Source organism: Homo sapiens, chromosome 3, assembly GCF_000001405.40.
Source record: "Homo sapiens chromosome 3, GRCh38.p14 Primary Assembly".
NCBI classification, from domain to species: domain Eukaryota; kingdom Metazoa; phylum Chordata; class Mammalia; order Primates; family Hominidae; genus Homo; species Homo sapiens.
This window is the reverse complement of record NC_000003.12, coordinates 109,911,403-109,938,511: the sequence shown is the minus strand read 5'-3', so window position 1 is coordinate 109,938,511 and position 27,109 is coordinate 109,911,403. Positions and strand designations below refer to the sequence as shown.

The 27,109-nt window shown below is 36.0% G+C and overlaps 1 pseudogene, besides 1 other annotated feature; it reads left to right on the top strand.

Annotated features, from left to right (window-relative positions):
* Window positions 10,778-11,977: an enhancer, noted in NCBI's record as "P300/CBP strongly-dependent group 1 enhancer chr3:109645382-109646581 (GRCh37/hg19 assembly coordinates)". NCBI's record gives its function as "activates an origin of replication core promoter dependent on BRD2, BRD4, P300/CBP, MED14 and CDK7 cofactors, with strong dependence on P300/CBP, by STARR-seq in HCT116 cells {active_cell/tissue: HCT116}" and the evidence as "EXISTENCE:reporter gene assay evidence [ECO:0000049][PMID:35650434]".
* NFYBP1 (NFYB pseudogene 1) lies at window positions 21,444-22,728 on the top strand (annotated as a pseudogene).

The following is a 27,109-nucleotide window of genomic DNA, read 5'->3' as shown; positions in this document are numbered from 1 at the left end:
GGCTACCCCTGCCCAAAGACAGGATAAAGGAATAACAAACATAAGTAGCTTTTGCAATAGAGGTCCAGTTCTTGTCCTTAGGTTCTTCAGATTGGATGGTGAGTTCATGGGTGTGTATTATACTTTCATGCCCCCTCCTCTAACTATATCATATATTACATAAAATATAAATAAAGACAGAAATAAATATGATTAAGCTTCCTCATGCTTATTTGCAACTACATTATTCGGAAACTGAGAGGCAAAGTAGATTGATGATCTTCAAAGAAGAATCATAGCACTGCTGCCTAAACTCAAGCTCTGCTGTCCGATGTGTTTGCTCATTCTGACAGTTGTTCACTCATCCACTCTTTTATTTGACATGAACTGACTGGCACTATATGATGGACACTAGACTTAGTGTTGAAATAATCATTCCTCACCTCTATTCAAGTCCATGAAAATTTTCCAAAGCCCTAATGGTTTTTTCAGACTGTCCCTGAGGACTACTTGCCCATGCCAGGTTTTCCTCTATTTTGACTCTATTTTAGTAAAACAAACTGATAAATAAGTGGAGGGTCATTTTTAATTTAAATACTACTTATTGCTACAAAATTAAGTCATTCATTAAATTGTTACTCCTTCTAAGAAGAATCCTTTCTATTAATCTGTGTTATTGCCCCCAACAGCCCAATATGTAGCCTGAACTATATTTTATTTGTATCTCCCAGCTCATTTGAAAATATGTTTGAAACAGATAAAGTTTTGGAGTTTAGTCACTGTTGAATAAACTACAAGATAAAATTGAGTAATATTCCTCTCTGTCAGATAGTATATAAATACCTTTTCTTCCTTAGCACATGTAACACTTTTATTAGTAAATTGATGCTTATTAAGCAGATGTGTTTGATCATTAAAACATTTGTGTAAGCAAAAAGAAATCTAATTGTGATACTTTTTAACTTTTCATCATTTCAGATTTTTTACAGAAGACCATAAAAGCAAAAAAATATATATATGACTTATCTTTCATATTTTCAATGACAGCCATAATTTCAAATATTCTTTTCCCTATAAGTTCATGTTTATTTGTCTAAAAATATGTGCTAATTTTTGAATGTTAAAACATGTGCTCTGTAGCTTCCTTACCACTGCCTTCTTACCCCTTTCCTTTCCCATTTTGATCTAACACTGTGAAAAGGCTACAAACAAAGGGAAACTTCAGCATGTTCCAAAACATTTTTTACCAAATTAAGACTCATTCCAAAGGAGTCATATTTTTATATTTGGAACTTTTATAATGTACACATTAATTTTTATACAATAGAAGTAGTATTCTTTTAGCATAGAAATGTTAAAATACAAGAGAAGAGTTTTAGGTTTGGAAAAAAAGACAGATATTAGTGAACTCATCCACTGAGATCATCCTTCCATTATCAACAATATTATTTAGTTTCTTGTAATAAAGAGTTTCTTGATTCCAGTAATTACTGCTTATCTGAGACAATATTCTTGAATGAGAAAAAGAACAGTCATGTAAATAAAAATCAATTGCAAATTTCCTGGTATCCCTGTGTAGCAATCACTCCAATAACAATCTTATTAAGACACAGAATAAGAACAGAAGCTAAATTGCTATCCTTCATTATCCTTCACAATAGAAATATTAGGATGATTTTAATTAATGGATTTGCGGAGAGTTACTTATTTATGAATATTATCACAAGTCTAGTCTTTACATATATAATATACATTCCATGCTTTCTTGTGACATATCCCTATAAATGATAATTACATTTCTCAACAGAAAATGGGGAAAGAATTTAATATGATAGTTGTAGTAAGAATATTCTGCCCATGACAGGATTTAGGAATAAGCAAATGGCACAATAAGAATTACCTTCAAATGAGAAAGAGAAGAGAGAGAGAGAGATTTGTTTAAAGCAGTTTCATAACTTAAGTACAATATTTATTTTTGTTCCCAATTTTCTTTCTTTGCTGAGAAAAGTAAGCAAACAAACCTTAAATGACCAGTGGAGAAGAAACAATCTTCAGTTTCCTCTCTTTTGCTTTCAGAAGGGTAGGGGAGTGCAAAGAAAGGCAAAAAATTATTAATGTTGAAAACTTGTTCTTTCTTCTTTTTGATAATAGCCAATCTAATAAGTGTGAGGTAATATGTTATTGTGGTTGTGATTTGCATGATCTGACAGTTAGAAATGTTGAACATCTTTTCATATATTTATTGGCCATTTGTATGTCTTCTTTTGAGAATGTCTGTTCAAGCCCTTTGTGTACATTTAACAGGGTCAGTTTCTTGTTATTAAGTAGTTTGAGTTCCTTGTATATTTTCAGTATTAGCCCCTGATCCAGTGAATTATTTGCAAATATTTTTTCCCAATTTGTAGACTGTCTTTTCACTCTATTAATTGTTTCCTTTGCTGTACAGAAGCATTTTAGTTTGATGTAATCCCATTTGGTATTGTAAACTAGTAGCCATATTGAAAAACAGTACGGAAGTTCTTCAAAAAGCTAAAAGTAGGATTAACATATGATCCAGCAATCCCACTATTGGGCATATACCCAAAAAGATTGAAATAAGTATGCCAAAGAGATGTCTACACTCCCATGTTCATTGCAGCATTATTCACTATAACCAAGATAAAGAAAAATCTGAAATGTCTATCAATGGATGAATTGATTTTTAAAATGTTGTATAGACACAGTAGAATACTATTCCGCTTTTAAATACAGCAGACTCTAACATTTGCAACAACACTGATGAACCTAGAGGACATAACTTTAAGTGAAATAAGCCACACATGGAAAGACAAATACTGTATAATGCCACTTATATGTGGAAATTTAAAAAGCCAAACTCTTAGAAGTAGAGAGTAAAATGGTGGTTACAAGAGGCTGGGGTAGGTCCCGAAGGGAAAGTGGATGGGGAAAAGGGAGACTTTGGTCAACGGGTACAAAATTACAGTTTGATAAGAAGAATAAGTTCTGGTGTTCTGTTGCACAGCAAGGTGACTATGGTTAATAATAATGTATTGTATATTTCAAAACAGCTAAACGAGAGGATTTTAAATGTTCTTACCACAAAGAAATAGTAAATTTTTGAAGTAATAGATATGCTAATTTCCCTTATTTGATCATTCTGCAATGCATACATATATCAAAATTAGCATTGTACTCCATAGTACATACAATTATAATTTGTCAAAAAAAGTAAAACTTTAAAAAAAATTAAATACATCAATATTAACAGAAAAGGAGATTTCCACACCTGAAAATAGCTAATATAATATCATATAGTACAAATATAATGTTCAAATCAAGAAATAAAACTGGTGCATTCTGTGAGGTCAGTATGCAGAGCCTCTGGAGTTTTGCTTTGCTGATTTTTTTGTTTTGTTTGTGTGCAACGCTCTTTATCTTTGTTTCTTTGTATAATGAGTCCGAGTGACAACCATGTAGAGGAGAAGACTAAGAATATGAGAGATGATCATTTCCTAAGAATAGTGAAAGGACCGTGGATTTTTTTGTAAGAAGAATTAGGACATGTGCCAGCCATAGTCAAGTTGCTGTAGTGAGAGTTTCCAATTGCTTTGTGTGCCAGCAATTCATTTCCTCAATAATTACTTAATGAGTACCTATGTATACGAAGCACTCTGCTAATCACCAGACATGAGTTGGAGCTTTTTTCTCTTGGGTCTTGCATGGATAAGGTGTGATCATTTTATAATCACTTCTCTTCTTGGGGAAACAATAGCAAGTCTTCATAAATAATACCCAGTGATGAGTGGAGTTGATATATCTTATTACAGAAAGATGTGGAAAGTCAATTAGCAAGTTTCTCTAATACAAGCAGAGAAAGAAAGCTAAGAGGTTAGAGATTTTGAATCAAAGTGTTTTTTTCTATTTGTTTTAGGAGAGGATGCTGTGAACAATTATATTGCGGGAGGAAAGAAATCTAGATAAGAACAAGAAAGCAGTTCCTTACATCTATGGGGATTAAAAGCCAACTAATGCTATTTGCTCATTGTTCTGACATTTAGAACCGGAATCTCTTACCAAGGATACTTTTCTTTGTTCATGCTTTTAGAATGATCTCTAATCATTTCTGGGTTTTGCTGTCTCTTAACAATGAAATTAATTAAAACAGCAATAATATATGTAATCATAACAAATGCGTTAACTATAATTTATTAAACAACCTCTATGTTACAGGAATTGGTTTATTTGTACTTTTTTGAGGTAAGCAACCCTCTGAGGTAACAATTTCCTTCATTTTTACAAATAAAAAAATTAAACTTCAGCGATGTGAGCTGCTTTTACTGAAAGTCACATAGATACTTTTGAGTCTGGCTGGGCCATTTACTAAGTCTCTGCTGAGGCCAAAACTTTTGATCTTTTCCAAGCAGTCAGACAAAAAATACAATCATTTATATCGAGCCGGGGAGGAGGGAGCAGAATTTGCTTGTAAGTGCATTAAAAGGTAACACTGCCTATCTTTGAGAAGGAAAAGTGGGATGAAAACATGTTTTCCAATTTATAGTGTGTACTTTTTTGTACATTTGAATTTTATGACATGTTCATGTAAAAAAAAAAATAGCATAAATGCTAAGCTGCCTCCCGAATTATTTTCTTTCTGTCCTTAGTGGTGCTAAGACAATCTAAGGGAAAGGACTTTCAGTCCATGCTCACCAAGTTTTAGAGGCATATTGGAAGGTTGGTGGATTGACAAGGTAATGGTAGTTCTCATGACAGAATGAAAACACTGTGACAGAAATGATGAAGAGAAAGAATGTCAGCACCTAGCCTCCACCTCCAACCTGTGCAATTTCTTTCTAGAAAATTACTTTCTGCTAAAACCTTGAATTTGTTTTTTATTTTAATACTGGAGATGATACATTTATAGATGTTTATTCAAAAGAGAAAATAGTGTTCTATAACAATCCTGATCTAGGATAAAAGGGAGTGTGTTAACACAAACATATCTCAGCAAGTTATAAATACGATTTTCTAACAATTAAAACTGTTTATAGGTGGGGTACCTTCAAATACTCAACTCCTTATTAATGTACTCAAATTAAAATAAGAAGAAATCTGATAGCTAAGCAAAAACTAAAACTGATGCCACTACCAAATGTTGACAAAGTTTAAGTGGAACTTACCTACTCACAGATGATTGCATGCTCACAAGGGTAAATTGGTTTAACCACTTTAAAAAGTAAAGTTGGCAAATGCATCAAGAGCCATACAAATTGTTCCTAGACTTTTACTTAGTAATCCTACTTCTAAAATTTTTTCCTTGGAAATTACAATATTTCCATGTCAACTGTGAAAAATATATTTTTAAGGATATGTAGTTGAACTTATAGAATCTTATCACAAATTTTATTTTCATACTAAAATAAAAATATAATTAAATCCCAATGAATGAAAAGAATATCAGCAGTATTTCATGACATAGTATGAAAGACCAGTTTTTACTATTTTAAAAAGCAAGTTTATTCACAATTTAATAGGTACTGTGTTTAGCACTGACCTGATAATATTCTCATGTTTTCTAATTATATTAATTGTAGCTCACTTAACAACAAATTAACTTCCAAAACCATAATATTTTCACTAGGATCCCAAATGTCAATAACTTTTATATTATTTCTAACTATATTACCCTCTTTGTACTATTGCCAGGCATTAACACATTTTCACACATCTACCTTTTGAAAATATGCTTACAAATTATCTTTTAATTTTATACTCATTCATGCAAATGCAGCTACTTATTTAAAATTTCACAACTTTGAATAGTATGTAATAATATACTCTATGTGACATTAAAGCACCAAATATGAACATAAATTTCAAAGATTAAAAAATGCATATACACACACATGGGCGCACACACACACACACACACACACACACACACACACACACAGTTGGCCCTTCATATCCATGGGTTTCACATACACAGATTCAAACAACCATAGAATCTATGACTCCACTGGACCATTGAGTCATCAGCCTTTGTTGGGATAAGACTTTCACTCAAGGATAAGCATTGTAAGAAATGGTGTTTTTAATTTTTTAAGAACAGGATCCTCTCTTATTTTGTATACTATTGCTGATTATGTCGGCCAGCTTTGAAAAAATTTTGTCTAATATTGGAAGTTTACTTCTAAATTCTGAAGTGCTACAGAAAGAATGGACTATTGTGAAACATGAGCTTTAGCTAATTACCATATAGCAACGTACTGTTAAGTGAGAAAGCAGAAAAGAAAGCTGTATACATACCACAATAGCAACAAAGTAAACCATACCTATGAAACAAAGTCTAGAAGGAAATAAATACAAACTATAAAAGCAATGATGGGGCACTGGCATCATAAGTCAGTGGTTTTTCTTCTGTTTTCCAAAGCTTTCTTCTAAGAAGAATGTAGCTGGACCTTCTCTTTATATCCAGTGTGAGTCTCCCTTTTAAATAAGTGTGTTTAGATCATTTGCATTTAATGTGATTATTGATTTCCTTATGTTTAAATCTATCAGCCTGTAATTTGTTTTTATATCTCTCATCTGCTCTTTGTTCTCTTTTCTCTTTTTCTGCCCTTTGAATTAACTGATCATATTCAATAATTCTATTCTCTCTCCTTTATTGGGTTATTAGTTATAACTTTTGTGTTATTTTAGTGCTTGCTTTCAGATATATAATTTACATCTTTTACTTGTATGTAACAGCCTATCTCCAAGGGATATAATACCATTTCAGATCCAATATAACAAACTAATGAGAGTATTCTTCCATCTCCTTGCTTTAGGACTAATGTCATACATTTTACTTCTTCATATGGCTTAAACCTCACAAAACACTGTTATTAATTTTGTTGTAAGAAAAACTTATCTTTTAAAAAGCTTTAAATAATAGACAAAAATAATATTACCCATATAATCATCATATAGGTAATGTGGGACAGCTAGCTGGACAAACATTGCTGAAGTATGATTGCATCTATATAGAATCTAAGACCTAGAAAACCTTGTTGTCCACGCACTTGCATCTAGAATTCCCACTTCAGAAAGCAAATGCCAAAATACAAAGCAATATGTTTTTATATATATTTATATATATAAATATATAATGTGTATATAATATATATTATAATGTATAATATAATGTAATGTGTATATAATATAAATGTGTATATAATATTTATATACATGTGTTTATATGTGTGTATATATAATATATAATAAAATATATAATAAATATATGTGCATATATAATATATACATATGTGTATATATATAAACATATTGCTTTGTATTTTATATTTATATGTATATGTATATATATAAACACACACATATATATTGTTCATATATCATAAAGAAGATGAGTTGTGAAACTTTGTTTTTTACTTCTATTTGAAATTAGCCTTACTAGACTTATATTAATTTTATGACATAATAAAAATGAATATAATATACCTTTGGTTCAAAAACAATTAAAAATAATGATTTTAAGTTTATGGAAAGTATAAAAGTGTTTAGGGTACAAAAAATAAGTGGAAAGAGGAAGAATAAAAATATGTTATATGGCCATAATTACTATTATGTTAAAAATTAAAAGCAATCTTTAAGAAATTATGTTATATTCAAAATCAGGCAATATCACTTTACAGAGCTGCTGCAGACAGAGAGGGAGTGGAGTGGGGTGGGACACTAGATTAAACAAAAAACATGACCCATTTTTCAAATACCTCAAATCCTAAAGAGGAAATTATTTCTCCTGACATAAAATATCTAAAATGTTCCCTTTTGCCCCTGCTGCACGCACACACAAAATACTAATTGAGAAGAAAATAAAATGGCGAAAGGCAGGGAGCCCTGAGGTTAGAAGACGGCTATAGAATTAAGTGGATAAGCAGGCATTCTTAGGCAGTACAGCATCCTAGAAAATGTAGTCAAGGGAGTGCACTTTAATTAATTGAATAGAGACTTATTTGAGTAAACTTCAATTATACAGTGTTCAATGACTAAGAATAAAACCTTAAAATATTATTTCTAATAAACATTGGCTGGGCATGGTGGCTCACATCTGTAATCCCAGCACTTTGGAAGGCAGAGGTGGGCAGATAACTTAAGGTCAGGAGTTTGAGATCAGCCTGGTCAACAGGGTGAAACCCTGTCTCTGCTGAAAATACAAAAATTAGCCAGGTGTGGTGGTACGTGCCTGTAATCTTAGCTACTTGGGAGACTAAGGCAAGAGAATCACTTGAACCCGTGAGGCAGAGGTTGCAGTGAGCCGAGATCGCACCACTGCACTCCAGCCAGAGCGACAGAGTGAGACTCCATTAAGGAAGGAAGGGAGGATGGAAGGAAGGGAGGAAGGAAGGAAGGAAGGAAGGAAGGAAGGAGGGAAGGAGGGAAGGAGGGAAGGGGAAAAGAAAAACAAGAAAGAAAGAAAGAAAAAGAAAGAGAAAGAAAGAAGGAAGGAAGGAAGGAAGGAAGGAAGGAAGGAAGGAAGGAAAGAAAGAAAGAAAGAGGAAAAAAGTTAACATCACAGCATAAACCAGCATGATAAACAAATGATGGGAAGCATATCAAGGAGGTTCAGTAAAATTTGAAGGAATTCAGGATGAGTTGTAACAGTGATTACTTTCTTAGAGACAGGTCATGAGTTATTTCTATCTGTTTTTAGGTAGTGAGAACTAAAAGTTTATAGCAGACTCTTTTATGTATTCTTCAAAGTATATAAGGTGTGTTGTACCAATGTAATCTTCATAATAATATGGGATCTGTTCATACATGGAATCATCCCCGGGTCTGTGTTCAGTTATTTGCAATAAATTCATTTGCTGTTTTTAAAGTCCACGTTAAAGTAGCCTTTCATGTTAGTTTAGAAAGTTACTTTCTTGCTGGACCAAAATGGGATCCGTGAAAACAAGAACAAGAACATGTTGCATCCGTGAAAACAAGAACAGTGGGACAAAACAGGTAAGTTTTTTTTATGGAATGTTGCTTTAACAAGATTAATTTCTGTTAAATATAACAAAAAATAGGATACAGTCCAAAATGTGAATAGGATTTGTCTTTGAAAGAAGAGCTTTTGAATGTTTTTAATCCTAATATTTATGGTTCCCCAAATATTTGTAACAGTTAAGTTTGATATGAAAAATAACATCTTTGAAAGTTGCACACTTCCCAAACCTAATAAGGAGATTATATGGGATATCTTTAAACTTTCTCTTGGTGTCTAGGAGCCATCCTTGTGAATTTCAGTCCACCTTCTCTGGAAGAGTGGCCCTTCTGTTAGGATAACTGAAATGTGTAAGACACCATTTATACGTTTACAGACATCCCCTAGGATGCTGTGAGTTTTCTATCTTCTTCCTCAGTTATAGCTGAGACGACCCATGTGGCAACTTCTGGTGTTATCTTCTAATTTGGTATTTGGTATATGAGGTACCATCAATTGAAAGTCAATTGACAATGAGTACTAGAGCTAGTCAATCTTCTTAAAGCACCTTATTTTTCACATAACTCTAATTCATTAATATTTTCACTGAGGTATGTGAATATATACATATGTATTCCCAGAAAACTATTTTTCCAGAGCTAAGGTCTCTCTCTCCCTCTCTCTATCTCTCTCTTCCCCTCCCTCCTTCTCTCTCTCTTCCTCTTGCCCTCTCTCCCTCCTTTCTCCTTTTTTTTTTTTTTTTTTTTTTTGAGACAGAGTTTTGCTCTGTCGCCCAGGCTGGAGTGCAGTGGTGTGATCTCGGCTCACTGCAGCCTCTGCCTCCCGGTTTCCAGCAATTCTCCTGCCTCAGTCTCCTGGGTAGCTTGGATTACAGGCATACACCACCATGCCCGGCTAATTTTTGTATTTTTAGTAGAGACGGAGTTTCACCATGTTGGCCAGGCTGGTCTCAAACTCCTGACCTCAGGTGATCCACCTGCCTCTGCCTCTCAAAAGTTCTGGGATCACAGGCATGAGCCACTGCGCCCGGCCTTCTCTCTCTTTTCTACCTCCTTCCTTACTCTACCTCTCTTCATATTTTCTTTCCTTCTTATTTGAGAGGACAGTTCTGACTACAGAAAGAAAAAGCTTATGTTTGTCCGAAACAAAAGAGAAACGTTATTCTAATTACCTTAAAGTATCAATATTCCTTTACCCTAATCCTGACTGATGAACCGTTAACTATGGGACACAGCATTTCAGACACTCACATCCAAGAGCCTATCTATGAATTTGGGGTAGCGAACAATACAAGGTTTGTAGCATTTTTTTCCTAAATGTATTGGCCAGTTGTTCTCACTGTGCTGGGAATCCTGAGAAGCAGTATTTTGTTTGTTTTGTTGTTGTTGTTGTTGTTTTGTTGTTTTGTTTTTTATTTTTTCTCTGCCAGTGTGCTGACCTGCTGGTAGGTACTGAAGACCAACATTAATTCATAGGAACTGACATTTAGTTCAAGGGCCTTTCAGAGTTCAGAAGCATTTAGAAAAGCATCAGTGAAAGCAACTTACATACCTACCCTTACTGGAGATACAGTCCCCACTAGCTCAGAGGTGCTGAATACCTCCTAGTGAATTGTCTTCCCATGTCATTGATGACTGGTTAACTCAGATTCTCCCTTTGCTTTCCATCTTCCATTCATTTAATCATTAAGGCAGAGTACTGGGCTTTGGGGGTATTTTCTTTTTAATTATAAAACTACTGTCTCCAAAAAAATGATCAAAATACTGAAAATTGAAAATCAATATGATAAACACTCACTAAGCACATACAAAAAAATTATTGTTAATTGCATTTTAGTGCATTTTTCTGGCATTGTTTTGTCTCTTATTTTTCCTTCTTTTAACTTTAATGTTCTCAGAATTTGTAAGCATACATGATTGCATTTTCTCATAGCACTTCTTTTACATAGAATAACATGTGATTAAGAGAAAGAATGGTAGTATTGTGTTTTAGTTCTCAACAGGAGGTATATCAGAATGACTAGGAAGATTTTTCAAAAACATTATTTCTCACACAAAGATATGCTTTGATGGAAAGGGAACAGGGGAAGGGGAGGGCATGATTGGTGCCTGTGCCTTCTAACTGAAATTCCCAAGTGACTCATACCCTGTCTCATAACTCAGGAGTGTGACTAAAAGAAACTCAACCTCTGAATGAGGAAACCTAGGTTTTAGTCAGAGCCCCAGCATTCTTTATGTATTTATTCATTCAACTAATACCAAGTGAGTGTTTTCTCGGGCTGCACTGGGCTAGGCTCTACGCTTCAAGTGTTAAAGAAGACAGACAAGTTCTCTGACCTCCTGGAGCTTAAAGTTTAGTTGATGTGACAAGCATTAAACAGATAACCATCTTAACATTAATTTAATTTCTGAATAACATTTTTTTTACCCAGTGTGCTGTGAAAACCTTAGCTATGTGATCCTAGGGAGTTAACCTAACCTCTATGCCTCAGTTTCAGCATCTGCAAGATGGCATAATTCAGACTTGACAAATGACCTTACTAGACTGATGGTAGAAAGATTTAGAAATAATAGTTGTAAATGTGGTGTGAAAAAATATAATGTGTTAAATAAATATTATGATTGCCATCAGTTAGAAAGATTAAAAAATATATGCACACACAAATAATCCATATCTTCCCTTCTAGTTAACATATATATTCTGGTGACACCATCATCAAAATGAAGGAAGATATGATATATCCAACTAGCTTCAGTGATTTCCTCAGTAGATGTGGAATAAGTTAAAGTAATTGTTAATTGATGACTAGGTACAAACATTTCTGCTTATCTATCACTGTTAACAAACTGCACCAAACTTCAGTGGCTTAATAGAGGTTAAGAATTCAGAAAAGACTCATCTGAGAGATTCTTATCTTCGCAAAAGACTGTAACATCAATTGCAGTCACTCAATGGTATTCAGGTGGCGGCTGGGCTAGTGCGGGTTGCGGGGTGAGCAGAGGAAGGGAATGCGTAAGCCGGGCAGCTTGCAAGGAGAGCTGGACGACCAGACTCAGTGGGCCCTTTTCCCCTCCACATAGCCACAGGCGCTCTTTATGTGGTCACCATGTTTTGCTTCTCACATGGAAGATCAGGGCTCCTAGAGTGAGAGTCCCAAGAAACTGAAAGTAGCAATTGCCGATATATTAAAGCCTGGGCCTGGAAATAAGCATGTTTCCCTTCCACTGTATTATACCAAAGCAAATACAAAGTCCACCCAAATTCAAGGGAAGGAAAAATCAATCTCATTTCTCTATGGGAGGAAGGTCAAATAATTTTCAGGCATCTTTAATCTGCTATGCAAATACTGGTAAACATCAACTCTTGCTTAATTCTTTTCTCCACTGGCCTCAGCCCCCATTCATCCATCTTTGTTTCCACAACATGTACAGTGTCAAGTAAACTCCTCATTTTATATAAGATTTATAACAAAGAGAGGAAACGGGGGAAAAATTATTCCCTGCAGGCCCCTTAAAGACGTGACTGAAGAGAGAAACTTGCAACAACTCCCTAAACCAACCAGCGTAAGTACATTCAACCCACAAGCTTGGGGAAGGAGTAAGAGCGTCACTTGCATTGAACTTCTCTTTCCTCTATTGGGAACAAAATATTATTTTGTTTTTCATCTGATAATTTATTAACAAAGAGAAAAACAAAAAATAAAGCCCTAAGTGCCTCCTCTCTGATGTTCAGATCCTGACAGTTAAATAGATTTCTAACAGTGTGCTTGTAATGATCAAATGGCAAGTGAACTTAGAGGTCTTAAGGAGTTAATTATGATAGAATTTAAACTGTAGTATATTTTTACTTTCTATATAAGATGTACCTAAAATTATACTTTACCCTAAAGGAAAAAAACGTGGCATAAAAAAAAGAGCATTTGGAGTCAGATACGCCTTAGTTTGAGAAGCATTCCTGGCACATAGGAAGGGTAAGACTAGCAACATCACAGCTGAGTTTCCATTTCTTCAACACCATTGTTGCTGAAGAAATCAGGTGTGAAATATGTCTATATAAGGACTAACACAGTAGATTTCCAAGAAATATTTGCCAAAGAAATGAATAAAATCCACATCATCAAAGTAACCATCCGAAAAGTAAGATTTGATTCAGAAAGGGATGACCTCTAAGAAAACCGAAGAGGCGAAGTAACATTTATTAAACACCAACTATGAGCTAGGCATTGTGCAAGTTACTGAGGATAAAGACGAAAACACAGACTTTCCTCTCAGAGAAAAGCATGTAACTTAGAAGCTAAATGCAAGGAAGAAAACAATGTTTTTTGGAAATGCAGAGTGTGTGCATACAGCCTGTGGGTCCCAGAGGGGAACAGGCGAGCTGGGCCTTGGGTGAATTTTTAATAATGAGTAGGGATAAATCAAGTAAAAAACAGAGGGCAATGGGGAGAGGCAGGCATAAAAATTATTATGGAAAAAGGCAAATGAGCCCATTAAATGTGCTTTAGATTAGGTCTGAGAAGTAGGGGGGAACAGGCCAGGCATGGTGGCTCACGCCTGTAATCCCAGCACTTTGGGAGGCTGAAGCAGGCAGATTGCTTGAGGCCAGGAGTTTGAGACCAGCATGGCCAACATGGTGAAACCCATCTCTACTAAAATTACAAAAACCAGCTGGGCGTGGTGTTGCATGCCTGTAATTCCAACTACTCGGGAGGCTGAGGCATGACAATTGCTTGAACCCAGGAGGCGGAGGTTGAAGTGAGCTGAGATCACACCACTGCACTCCAGCCTGGGCAACAGAGCGAGACTCTGTCAAAAAAACAAAAAAAAAAAAAGCGGGGGGGGGGAACAATCCAGTAGGTCCGTATTCCTTTTTAACCTGGCAAGGAGCCCAGTTCCAGGCACATAGTAGGTACTCACAAACTCATTAAAGGCAAGGCAGGAAAGGAGAATGTGGGGTACATGATGAGTTTTGTACTCTATTCTAAAGACTTCAGATGTTATGCTGAAACCCACAGGGATGTGTTGAATGATTTTAAATAAGAGCAATGTGATCATATTTCTCTTTCCCAACCATTCATCTCACAACACTCTAGGAAGAGAAAGGAGATCTATAAACATACAGGTGGGGAAATGGTTAAGCATTAACCTATTAATGTAGATTACCTATTAATGTAATCTACCTCTGGAGGGTTGCAAAACTTTCACAAAAATTAAAGCAGGTTTAATGTTCTCTGACTGTTTCATCTGAATCAGAGACTCTCATGCTCCCTTCCATAGCTGCCTTGAGTGTGAAATTTAGACACAGGCCAAAATACCAGTCAACTCACAGTATATTTCTATTGACCAGCCTGGGTGCTTTCTTGACTAATAAAACTCTTTCCTGATGAAATGACAATTCAGCTCCTGAGCAAGTCTTTGCTGTAAGAATATGTGTGAAGCACAGACCAATAGAAAATGTCTTGTTTTGTGGGACCTATTTTTTTCCCATGTCTTTTCAGCTTCTTTTTGGATTTTGCTCTGAGCACTGAATATCGGTAACCTCTCACACTAAAAGTTCAATCAAAGAAAACACTAGTTTGCACATGAGTCACACTATGGCAATATGGCATTATCTGCTTGAGGCCGTAAGATTGTAGACGAAAGGTGGATTGAACATCAAGCCACTAGTATATCTATCTGGCTGTCAGGCAGAAAAGGGCAAGTGGTCAGTTGGATGAAATGACTTACAAGCCTCCCTTACAAAGTCAAATACGTATCTAAGGATGGTCAGAAAATAAGCACAACCCCTACAGCCTTACCTCTGTTGTTCACTCACTCGATTTACATTCATTCGTACAATATCTCTTGAGAATCTATTTTACCATAGGCCCTAAGCTGGATGTGAGAAGTGAAAGGGTGAGCTAGATACAGACAGGCCCTGTTTTTGACTCAGTGCCTCAAGGCAATTTAGAGTTAAGCCAAATTTCCCATGGTTTCTGAAATGTACTCTAATTAGTTCTGTTCCCACACTTGGTTTGTGCCCTCATTCTCAGGATAAATATTTCTATCCTTCAAGGATTTACTCTTAATCTATCTCTTCTATAAATCATCCTTATTATTCTGACTCCAAATAATTTCTTTGTCTTATAGCTGTTTTACAAATGTTAGCCCCCAATCATGTAATGTGCTAATCCATGACTGACTAATTACCTGAAAGAATAAATACAGATACAGATATGCTGATATATAGATATCACAGAATAACATGTGGTTTTCCAAGCTTTCATTTGCGACACAAATAAAGATGAGTATTTACAATTGATAATGTATTTGAAACGCCTTCAGCAGGACTGAACAACTAGTTCATATGGACTTCACCAAAGATGACCTAAAAGTGATTGTTTATCCTTCAGGTCAGAATCCATTTAGGAACAATGACTAGATATGTTCCATGTTCAATAGGAAGATAATATTCGTGACTGAATGTGACAAGTGACATTTTTCAACTGTGAATCTTTAAAAGTTGGCATATAAAGAAATGAAGAAAAGAAAAGAAATTCTACTGCTTATCATCCTCTAAAGAACACATAAATCTGTCACAGAGGAGAGCAACAGAATTGTTCTCTACCCTCCAGCTGAAATATTTCAGAAACAGGAGATTAAAATTTTATTAGATCCTCAGTACTATGCCTGGGAGATAGTTTTCTGTGGATTTTATGAACAATTTGCCAGCAGAGTCAGGTTTAGGGAAGAGTCTCAAAACTTTATCCTTCATTATTATCAGTAAACTACTAAACACAAAACAGGAAGTAAAGGCAAATAGGACATGAAAGTCTCAATAAATATTGAGACTTTTACAGTGTTAAAATGTTTACTTCCTCATCTCAGCTCTCCATCCACTATCTGAAACTCCCACCCCACCCCCACAAAATCTATAAAAGATTTCTTCACTTCTTCACTTACACTGCACGGGGTAAGATTTTCAAATTCTTTTATATCCAAACATCAAAAGAATTGCTTTATTTCTACATTGCACTGTCACATAAATACTCAAAAGGAAAAAAGAGAGTTATTTTCCTTTAAGTACCTCATTCCCCCCAATCCATTAATAGTTGAACAGGGCGCATGTTTGATTGTTATCAAAAGGTCAGATATTATGGAGGCATATTATGATGTATATGCTTGTAAACATTTTCATTTAATCCAAACATTTGTAATCACAAAAAATGCTTTTGTCCACAACTATTAATTAATTCAACTATTTTGTAACCTGTCTCTGAAAAACAGTCCAAATTATTATCATTTCTAACTACAACTCAAGGAAATTTTATGTTCTACATCACACAACCAAAAAACTTTCTAATTTTGACCATATTTAGAAATAAAAGTTTATTTTAAATTATAAATTAAATATAAGAAGTACTTAAGACTGTTTAAAAGGTATGTCAGTAACTATAATACAATAGTGTTAGTGTCCTTATAAGAGACATCAGAGAGCTTGCTCTCTCTCTCTCCCTCTCCTTGCACACACCAAGGAAAGGTCACATAAGGACATAGCAAGAAGGTGGCCATACGCAAACCAGGAAGAGAGCCCTTAACCTAAATCAAATCAGCTGAAACCCTGATCTTGGACTTCTAGCCTCCAGAACTGTGAGAAAATAAATTCGCTTTTTAAGTCACCTAGTCTGTGGCATTTTGTTATGGAAGCTCGAGCAGACGACGACAGGCCCCGTAGTTCCTTTATTCCAGTGAAGTGACAGCAGCCCTTGGAGAGTGACACAGTATTGAAAGACTAATTCCTCCAGAAACTGGAAGAGTGCTAACAGCTGTCACCTCTCAGACCTCTCAAAAAAATTGCCTTTGATTGGAGGAATCTGCTTCAACTAGGGTTCTCTTTCCTTCCTAGGGTAGCTCTCATTCTGACCACAACATGGGCTAAGTAATTTGACCCCCACTTCAGAGCAACCTGTGATGTTTGCTAAAACCTTCACTGAGGCTGCATTGGGATTGAACTTCCCTCAGCAAATTCTGCCTCTTTTCCATCTCTTCCACAGGTATTGATTATAAAAGCATGTAATAATAAACTTATTTTTCTAGACTTACCTTCATGTCAGCATCTGCTTTCTAGAGAAGCCAATCTACAGCTCCACCTCATTAGAATTACTTTTAATTTTTTTGGTATAGTTTAAAGTGGATTTCCAAAAAATATAATAAACACAGCCTGATCCAAAGGATGAGAAGGAAAACCTTGAAAATTTTACTGAGCACCTGTAATGTGCCTGCATTCTAGTTTATGGTTCTTTCGTATGTGTTATCAATTCTTTCCTTCCTGATGTTTATAGTACCAATATATTCATATCATTCTCCAGGAACACCATCAAATTAAAATACACTCATTGTTAACAAATTTTATGTAATGAAAAGAAAACAATGCTCATTTTAAAGAGAAAACTGGTTTATAATTGTTTCGAGAAAGCTGACTGTGCGATGCCTATTCTTGTGTCCCCTGCTTTGCTCATTCACTTGCTTTCTTCTTATTCTTTATTACATTACAGTCTTTGCCAACCCCCCTTCAATGCTCAACTCAAGTCTCAAATTCTTTATGAAATATCTGTCCACTCCTATTTCCTTTATCTGTAGAGTTTGTGCATGCTATTCAATTAACTCACTGAAAGCTTTTGAGTTCTACAGCTTATATCTCCAAAGGTCTCACAAGCTTTTTAGAGACAGAGAGTATGTATTGTTGTCCTTTAAATCCCTTAATGAGCCCAGTGCCTCACACATCACCTACTGGAAAAAGAGACAAAGGGAGATATGAAACTCTTCTTTGCAGTTTTTCAGAGAAAATCAGAGGTAATCTTTACATGAAAAATGTCTAAATTATCTTCTACCTGAAGAACAGGGGGAGCATTTCAACTCATAATTACACAGATAAATAATCAATATCAATACCCTTCATCTATATTAATATTGAAGAGTGAAGTTTAGAGGTAAATGGTAATACTCAAGCATTACTTAGATACTCTACAGGTTAAACACAAATGGATCTAGTAAATAAAGATGGGCTGGTTTAATTTTTGGTATTAATTCAATAAATAATTATTACACACTCACAATATTCTAGAAATCAGGGATATGAAACTCATTTCTCTCCAATCAAAGCAACATCATTTTTTTTACTAGTTCCATTGAACAAGTAAGAACAGGCAACCCACATGGCATTGGCCAACCAGCCTGATGAAAGGAAGGCACATTTTCAAAAGTCACAGATCCAAATTCATTAAAAAAAATTCTCAGAGTATTAGTTCATAGAACATATTTTTTAAAAAACTTGCACCATTTATTAAGCATTTACTGTGTAGGAAGTACTGCCATATGCTTTACGTACATTGCCTCATTTAGTCCTTAATAAAAACCTATAATTGTACATTTTGCAAAGGAGGAATTTGAGAATCTAAAAGTTTATCAGACAGCTTAAATAATTTTCTCAATATTACATTAAGGTATCGTCTGATTCCCAAAACTCTGCTCTTAACTATTACACTGCACCGCACTCAGGAAATGAATGTTGATGCTATTTTTCTACCACAGGTCAATAAAAACAACTGTCAGAGAGACCTCGTTTGGCTGCTAAAGTTTTTCTATTAGATATTTCTTGTTTCCATCTTTATGAGGTGTAATATACTCACTATTTTAATTTTCTTTTTTGCCTATGATAACAATTACAACTTTAGTTAACTAAAAAGTATATTCAAATAACTCTGGTGGAACTTAAAAATAAAACTTTAATGTGTCTTTTTCTACATCTGACGACTCCTTTTTCCTTCTGGCCACCTTATTTCATAGATATCAAGTATTCTTTTTTTTTTTTTTTTTAGATGGAGTCTCACTCTGTCACCAGGGCTGGAGTGCAGTGACGCTATCTTGGCTCACTGCAACCTCCGCCTCTTGGGTTCAAGCGATTCTCCTGCCTCAGCCTCCCAAGTAGCTGGGATTACAGGCACCCACCACTACGCCCAGCTAATTTTTTGTATTTTTAGTAGAGACGGGGTTTTACCATGTTGGCCAGGCTGGTCTCGAACTCCTGACCTAGTGATTTGACCGCCTTGGCCTTCCAAAGCGCTGGGATTACAGGCGTGAGACACTGTGCCTGGCCAATATCAAGTATTCTTTTTACAAAGCATTGAAAATGACATTTTGCCCTAGGAGTTTTACATACTACGAAGAGTTTGGAAGGCAAAATGTAAGAAAGTATTTTTTTTGTCCATCTTAAAATACAGTAAACATTGACCCCCACTTGTTTATGTATTATATTAGGAACTATTTCCAAAATTTGCCTTTACTCTTACTGAACCACGTTTACCATATGTGGTGAGTAAACGAAAATGTACTAGCATCACTGTTTTAAATGTAAATAAGACTATATGAAATCTTCACTTTATATGGTGTTTTGTAAAAGACAAAAAAAATCTCCTGACTTCCCCCTTAAAATATTTACTGAGACAAAAGATAACCAGAATTTAAAATAGCACTGAAAATTAAGCAGAAATACATCTATTGCTGACATTCATTGGAAATCCCCTAAATATATATGTAAACATTGACCCATCGGTGTTATGCTGAGCATTATGAAAGCAAGAACCACGTTCACCATTCTTCTCTTCCTTCTGAGCCCAAAGGCTCAGAAAGGCAACAGCTGCACAAATTTGAAAATTGATGAAAATAAGCAGCCATCCATGATATGTGTGAGAACTCTGACTGTCCCCTGGAGTCAGTCTGATATACCTATACTCATCAATGAATGCCTGTTTCTAGCCAGAAAAAGATAGTAAGTTCCTGAAAGTGACTTGGGAGGAAATAGCAGGGGGCTGGCAGTGCTATATAAGAACTCAGGAAAAAACTTGGAAAAAGAGAGCAAAAAGAGAAAGAAAAGTAAAAGAGGGAAACTCAGGAAGACTATTGGAAATAGCCATCTTCTGGCACTTCATCTATTAATACAAGGAGTTCAAACATTTCATAGTGGAAAGAACTTGAAGATCCCACCACAGCCCAGCAAAATGGGCTGAGCAGAAAAGGCTGTGGAGAACTGCACAAATAAGCATAATATTGTAGAATTTAGGAGAGATCTTAAACAACAGTATGTACAGTGCAGCTAACTAAATATAGAAGTACCAGTACTATGGCCTCAAAAAATTCTGCAGAACAAGAGAAAGTGAATATTTTTAGTATTATACTATAAGTCAGAATTAGAGATCACTTATGAACTCCAGACACCAGACACATTTTTAAAATATTTTGCTGCTCAATAGGATGTATGAAAACATGAGTTTTTTTGCCATTAAAAGTAATGGCAAAAACTGCAATTACTTTTGCAGCAACCTAATACTTTGAAAAGATAACACAATCAGAAGAAAAGGGAGATGGCTTATATTGTTATAGTCTGAGGTATTGGCAGTAAAATGCAGAAATGATACTGAAGAAAATAAAAATTGTTATTAACCTACAGTGACAAATAGGGTCCTTGTAGTGCAGAAGGAGTCATGGTAACAGACTCTCTTGGGCAAAGTAAGGAAATCCAGGTGCTGAAGGTAAACTTAAACCATCAGGTAATCTCCCAAAGCCTTTGAGAGCCTCAGCTATTGGGAGCACCAGATGCCAAGGAAGGTGGGGTGGGTTGAGGTCTGAAAAGACTAAGATTAGTTAGATGACTGTAAACATGGGAGTTGGAACACCCAGATCCTCTCCTACATGCCTGTAGCCAGAAGATTATTTCTCACATACATCTTCACTGGCAGGAGAATAGTCGGCTATCCTCAGGAAGGCTCTGGACTTTGTAACAGAGCACAGCAGAGAGCAGGAGAGAGTATGTGAATGAAAAATACAGTGAGGTATGCAAACTTCTCTCCACTTTCTTTTCTCTTTTTTCTGTCCTTCTCCTTGCCTCGCTCAGGATTCCAGCAACTGAGTATAAGGATCCTCCTCTCTCTGCACCCTACCACAAAAAGCTGGAAAAAAGAGATTCTTGGGTATAAATCTATACCCTCCCCCCCAAAAAAGTGTTCCTATTGTGACACTTTGTAGGTCCTTCAATTAAAAGGCTGACTCTCTTTCCAAACACTATGGTGTTCATGAATCCACCAAACAACAGGCCCACTCTCCCCATAGAGATTTGACTTCTAATGAGCTTTTTGGTGCCTCTTGAATATGAATAGACTATGAATGGAAAGATCAAGATCAACAATTATTTAAAAACTGTTTCAATGTAAAAAGGAGAAACCAAAAACTGGAACAAAAAATATTTTTTAAGGAAAAAAGCTAAGAAAATATAGAGAGAAGAAGATGATGGAAATCAAATATATGTATGTATATGTATGAGTAGAAGATTAAGATGGCAGATAGGACGCAGGACTAACTTGCAGCTCCTGCTCAGAAGGATGGAGCAGTGTGTGGAAACCCACATCATGAACTTTTAGTCTCAGAATTGCCTCAGGAACAGCTCCAGCAAAACAGCAGATTGGAGATGGGAGCCAACCAGGACTGCATTGGAGGTTGAAATAGCAAACAGTAGACACCATTTTAGACAGGTGTTCTTCAGCACCACTGACAACAGTTTCGACAATATTTCATGACAATGGATGATGACAGTTCTACAACAGATGCCTCTCAACTAGGAACCTGTGCAGACTATATTGGAGGAAGTCATTATGTTATACAGCCTCATGATGATACTGAGGAGAGCATGAGTGATCAAGAGGACACAAATGGTTCAAAAGTAAGTTTCAGAGAACAAGATATGTATCTTCCAATAACAAACGTGGCTAGGATAATGAAAAATGCCATACCTCAAACAGGAAAGATTGCAAAAGATGTCAAAGAATGTGTTCAAGAATGTGTAAGTGAGCTCATCAGCTTTATAACATCTGAAGCAAGTGAAAGGTGCCATCAAGAGAAACAGAAAACAATCAATGGAGAAGACATTCTGTTTGCCATGTGTATTAGTCTGTTTTCATGCTGCTGATAAAGGTATACCCGAGACTGGGAAGAAAAAGGTTTACTTGGACGTATAGTTACACATGGCTGGGGAGGCTTCAGAATCATGGTGGGAGGCGAAAGGCACTTCTTACATGAGAGAAAATGAGGAAGAAGCAAAAGCAGAAACCCCTGATAAACCCATCACATCTCACGAGACTTATTCACTATCATGAGAACAGCACAGGAAAGACCAGCCCCCATGATTCAATTACCCCCACTTAAGTCCCTCCCACAACAAGTGGGAATTCTGGGAGATACAATTCAAGTTGAGATTTGGTGGGGATACAGCCAAACCATATCACCATGTCTACCTTAGGCCTAGACAGTTACGTGGAACCTCTGAAATTATATCTTCAAAAATTCAGAGAGGCTATGAAAGGAGAAAAGGGAGTTGGTGGAGCAGTCACAGCTACAGATGGACTAAGTGAAGAGCTTACAGAAGAGGCATTTACTAACCAGTTACCAGCTGGCTTAATAACCACAGATGGTCAGCAACAAAATGTTATGGTTTACACAACAGATTTCTGGTGTTCAACAAATTCAGTTTACATGATCTGAAGAAATGATGGAATGAAGGGTATAGAGAAATAAGAGTCTGTATGATTCTGGAACACAGACATCAGAAGAAAATGACTGGTGAAAGATGTATCTTTGTATATTAAATAGCTGTAATGTAGCTTCCTGATGCTTCACTAATTGAGGTGTTAATTCTGACTTGAGAATCTTTTTCATCAATGATTTTAAAGAAAAATTTAGATTTTAAAGGTATTGAAAAAGAAAAAAAAAAAATATATATATATATATATATTTTTTTTTTTTTTGAGACAAGAGTCTCCCTCTGTCACCCAGGCTGGAGTGCAGTGGCACAATCTCAGCTCACTGCAAGCTCCACCTCCTGAGTTCACACCATTCTCCAGCCTCAGCCTCCTGAGTAGCTGGGACTACAGGTGCCCACCAACATGCCTGGCTAATTTTTTGTATATTTTAGTAGACACAGGGTTTCACCATGTTAGCCAGGATGATCTCGATCTCCTGATCTCGTGATCCGCCCGCCTCAGCCTCCCAAAGTGCTGGGATTACAGGTGTGAGCCACCGCGCCCAGCCAGGTATTAAAATATTTTTGTTTTGTCTGAGAGTTTGTTGGTCTGTATGACTCTCGAATGCATTGTATATTGCAATTTATTACTGTCAGAGATTTGTAGACAGTTTCTTATTGTCATATTGAATCATGTTACTTTTGTAACTCAAGTAAGCAGCTGGGCTAATTCATGATGTTTGCCCTTTTAATAAAATACAAGGGTAGAGTTCAAAAAAAAAAAAAGAACTACCACAGGAACATACCAGGAAAGCTGAGAGAATCCACAGACACTTCAAAGGAACTGGATCACCACTGCAGGCTCCCTGAGAAGCTGAAAAACTATGAGTCTGCTTGCTTCTCAATGGGGAGGCTCCTGGTCTGGGGCAAGTTCTTAGCCCTAGTCACCGGCTGCCTGGAAAGACTCAGTGCTGTTGTTAGGACATGGTGGAAGTGAGACCGGCCTTTAGGACTGTGGGCTGCGTAGGAGCAGAGTGAGGCCTGTGACTGCTGGTTTTTCCCCACTTCCCTAAGGTGAAGTCTAACCTTAGCAAATCAACAACATGATACAGTATATGAAAGAAAATTTCTTCAGTGAAATAGAGAGCATTTAAACAAAAAACATAACTTCTGGAAATCAAGGACACAGAGAAATGCCAAATGCACTGGAAAGTCTCAGCAATAGGATTGAACAAGCAGAAGAAAAAACTTCAGAGCTCAAAGATAAGGCTTTCAAATTAACCCAGTCCATCAAAGACAAAGAAAAATCATAAAAATAAATGAACAAAGCCTCCAAGAAGTTTGGAACTATGTTAAACCTCGAAACCTAAGAATAATTGGTTTTCCTGGGGAGGAAGAGAGATCTAAAGTTTGGAAAACATATTTGAGGAAATAATCAAGAAAAACTTCCCGGGCCTTGCTAGAGATCTAGACATCCAAATACAAGAAGCTGAAAGAACACCTGGGAAATTCATTACAAAAATATCATCGCCTAGGCACATGGTCATCAGGTATCTAAAGTCAAGATGAAGGAAAGAATCTTAAGGGCTGTGAGGCAAAGCATCAGGTAACCTATAAAGAAAATCTCTCAAATTAACAGATTTCTCACCAGAAACCCTACAAGCTAGAAGGGACTGGGGACCTATTTTTGGCCTTCCTAAACAAAACAATTATCTGCCAAGAATTCTGTAACCAGTGATACTAAGCTTCACAAATGAAGGAAAGACAGTCTTTTCAAGACAAACAAATGCTAAGAGAATTCACCACTATCAAGCCAGCACTACAAGAACTGCTGAAAGGAGCTCTAAATCTTGAAATGAATCCTGAAAATACACCAAAATGGAACCTGCTTAAAGTATAAATTTTGCAAGACCTATATAACAATAACACAATGAAAAGAAGTATTCAGGCAACAAACAGCATGATGAGTAGAATAGTACCTCACATTTCAATACTAACATTGAATGTGAATGGCCTAAATGATCTACCTAAAAGATACAGAATGGCAGAATGGATAAGAATTTACCAGTTGAGTTTCTGTTGTCTTCAGGAGACTCACCTAACACATAAGGACTCACATAAACTTAAGATAAAAGAGTGGAGAAAGATATCCATGCAATGGACACCAAAAGCGAGCAGGAAAAGCTGTTCTTATACCTGACAAAACAAACTTTAAAGCAACAGCAGTTATAATATACCCAAAGGACTATAAATCATGCTGCTATAAAGACACATGCACACGTATGTTGATTGCGGCACTATTCACAATAGCAAAGACTTGGAACCAACCCAAATGTCCAACAATGATAGACTGGATTAAGAAAATGTGGCACATATACACCATGGAATACTATGCAGCCATAAAAAATGATGAGTTCATGTCCTTTGTAGGGACATGGATGAAATTGGAAATCATCATTCTCAGTAAACTATCGCAAGGACAAATAACCAAACACCACATATTCTCACTCATAGTTGGGAATTGAACAATGAGAACACATGGACACAGGAAGGGGAACATCACACTCTGGGGACTGTTGTGGGGTGGGGGGAGGGGGGAGGGATAGCATTAGGAGATATACGTAATGCTAAATGACAAGTTAATGGGTGCAGCACACCAGCATGGCACATGTATACTTATGTAACTAACCTGCACATTGTGCACATGTACCCTAAAACTTAAAGTATAATAGTAAAATAAAAACAAAGAAGGACATTATATAATAATAAAAGGAGTCGTCCAACAGGAAAATATCACAACTATAAATATGCATGCACCTAACACTGGAGCTCCCAAATTTGTAAAACAATGACTGCTAGACCTAAAAAATGAGATAGGCAGCAACACAATAATAGTGGGGGATTTCAATACTCCACTGACAGCACTAGACAGGTCATCAAGACAGAAAGTCAACAAAGAAACAATGGACCTAAAATATTCCCTACAACAAAAGGACTTAACAGATATTTATAGAACATTCTACCCAATAACTGCAGAATATACATTCTATTCATCAGCCCATGGATCATTCTCCAAGATAGACCACATGATAGGCCACAAAACAAGTATCAGTAAATTTAAGAAAATCGAAGTTACATAAAGTACTCTTTCAGACCACAGTGGGATAAAATTGGAAACCAACCCTAAAAGGAAGCCTCAAAACCATACAAATTCTTGGAAATTAAATAACCTGCTCTTGTATGATCATTGAGTCAACAATGAAATCAAGATGGAAATTAAAAAAATACTTTGAACTGAAAGATAATAGTGACACAACCTATCAAAACCTCTGGGATTCAGCAAAAGCCGTGCTAATAGGAAGGTTCATAGCATTAAATGCCTGCACCAAAAAGTCTGAAAGAGCACAAATAGACAATCTAAGGTCACACCTCATGTAACTAGAGAAATAAGAAGAATCCAAACCCACGGCGAGGAGGAGAAAAGAAATAAAGACCAGAGCAGAACAAAATAGAATTGAAATAAGCAAACAAACAAAATACAAAAGATAAATGAAACGAAAAGCTGGTTCTTTGAAAAGGTAAACAAAATTGATAGACCGTTAGTGAGATTAACCAAAAAAAGAAAAGAGATCTCAATAAGCTCAACTAGAAATGAAACTGGAGATATCACTATTGATACCACATAAATACAAAATATTTATTCAAAGCTACTATGAACACATTTACACACATAAACTAGAAAACCCAAAGGAGATGGATAAATTTCTGAAAATATACAACTCTCCTAGATTGAATCAGGAAGGTATAGAATCTCTGAACAGACCAATAACAAGCAGTGAGATTGAAATGGTAATTTAAAAATTACCAGTAAAAAAAATTTAGGACCAGAAAATTCAAAGCTGAATTCTGTCACATTCATTGACGAATTGGTACCAATCCTAATGACACTATTCCAAAAGATAGAGACAGAGGGAATCCTCCCTAGATCATTCTATGAAGCCAGTATCACCCTAATAAAAAAAAAAGCCAGGGAAGAACATAACAAAACAAAAAAAAAAGAAAATGAAAAAGAAAGCTACAGACCAATACTCCTATAAACATGGATGCAAAAATGCTCAACAAAATAGTAGCTGGCATAATTGAACAGCATATCAAAAATATAATCCACCATAATCAAGTGGGTTTCATATCAGGGATACAGGAATGGTTTAACATATGATTTACATGATCATATGTTAAAAATCACATGATTACCTCAATAGACACAGAAAAAGTATTTGACAAAATCTAGCATTGCTTTATGATTAAAACCCTAGGCAAAATCAGCATAGAAAGGACATACCTTGGCAGCTCCAGACAGAGCAGTGGGTGGTGGCTCACAATGTGAATTATAGCTCCAGACCTACTGCAAGAACAAACCAGCAATCCCCAGAGGACCCACAGACCTTCTGAAGGAAGCAGACTGCTCCTGCAAGAACCAGGAGACCCCCACAAAATTGTGAGTGCCCCAACTGCAGAAGTGGGAAAGGGAGACCCTCCTCTCCCTAACACATACTCCCACTAAAGAAGCTGAAGGTCTGTTTGTGGGAGAAGTTT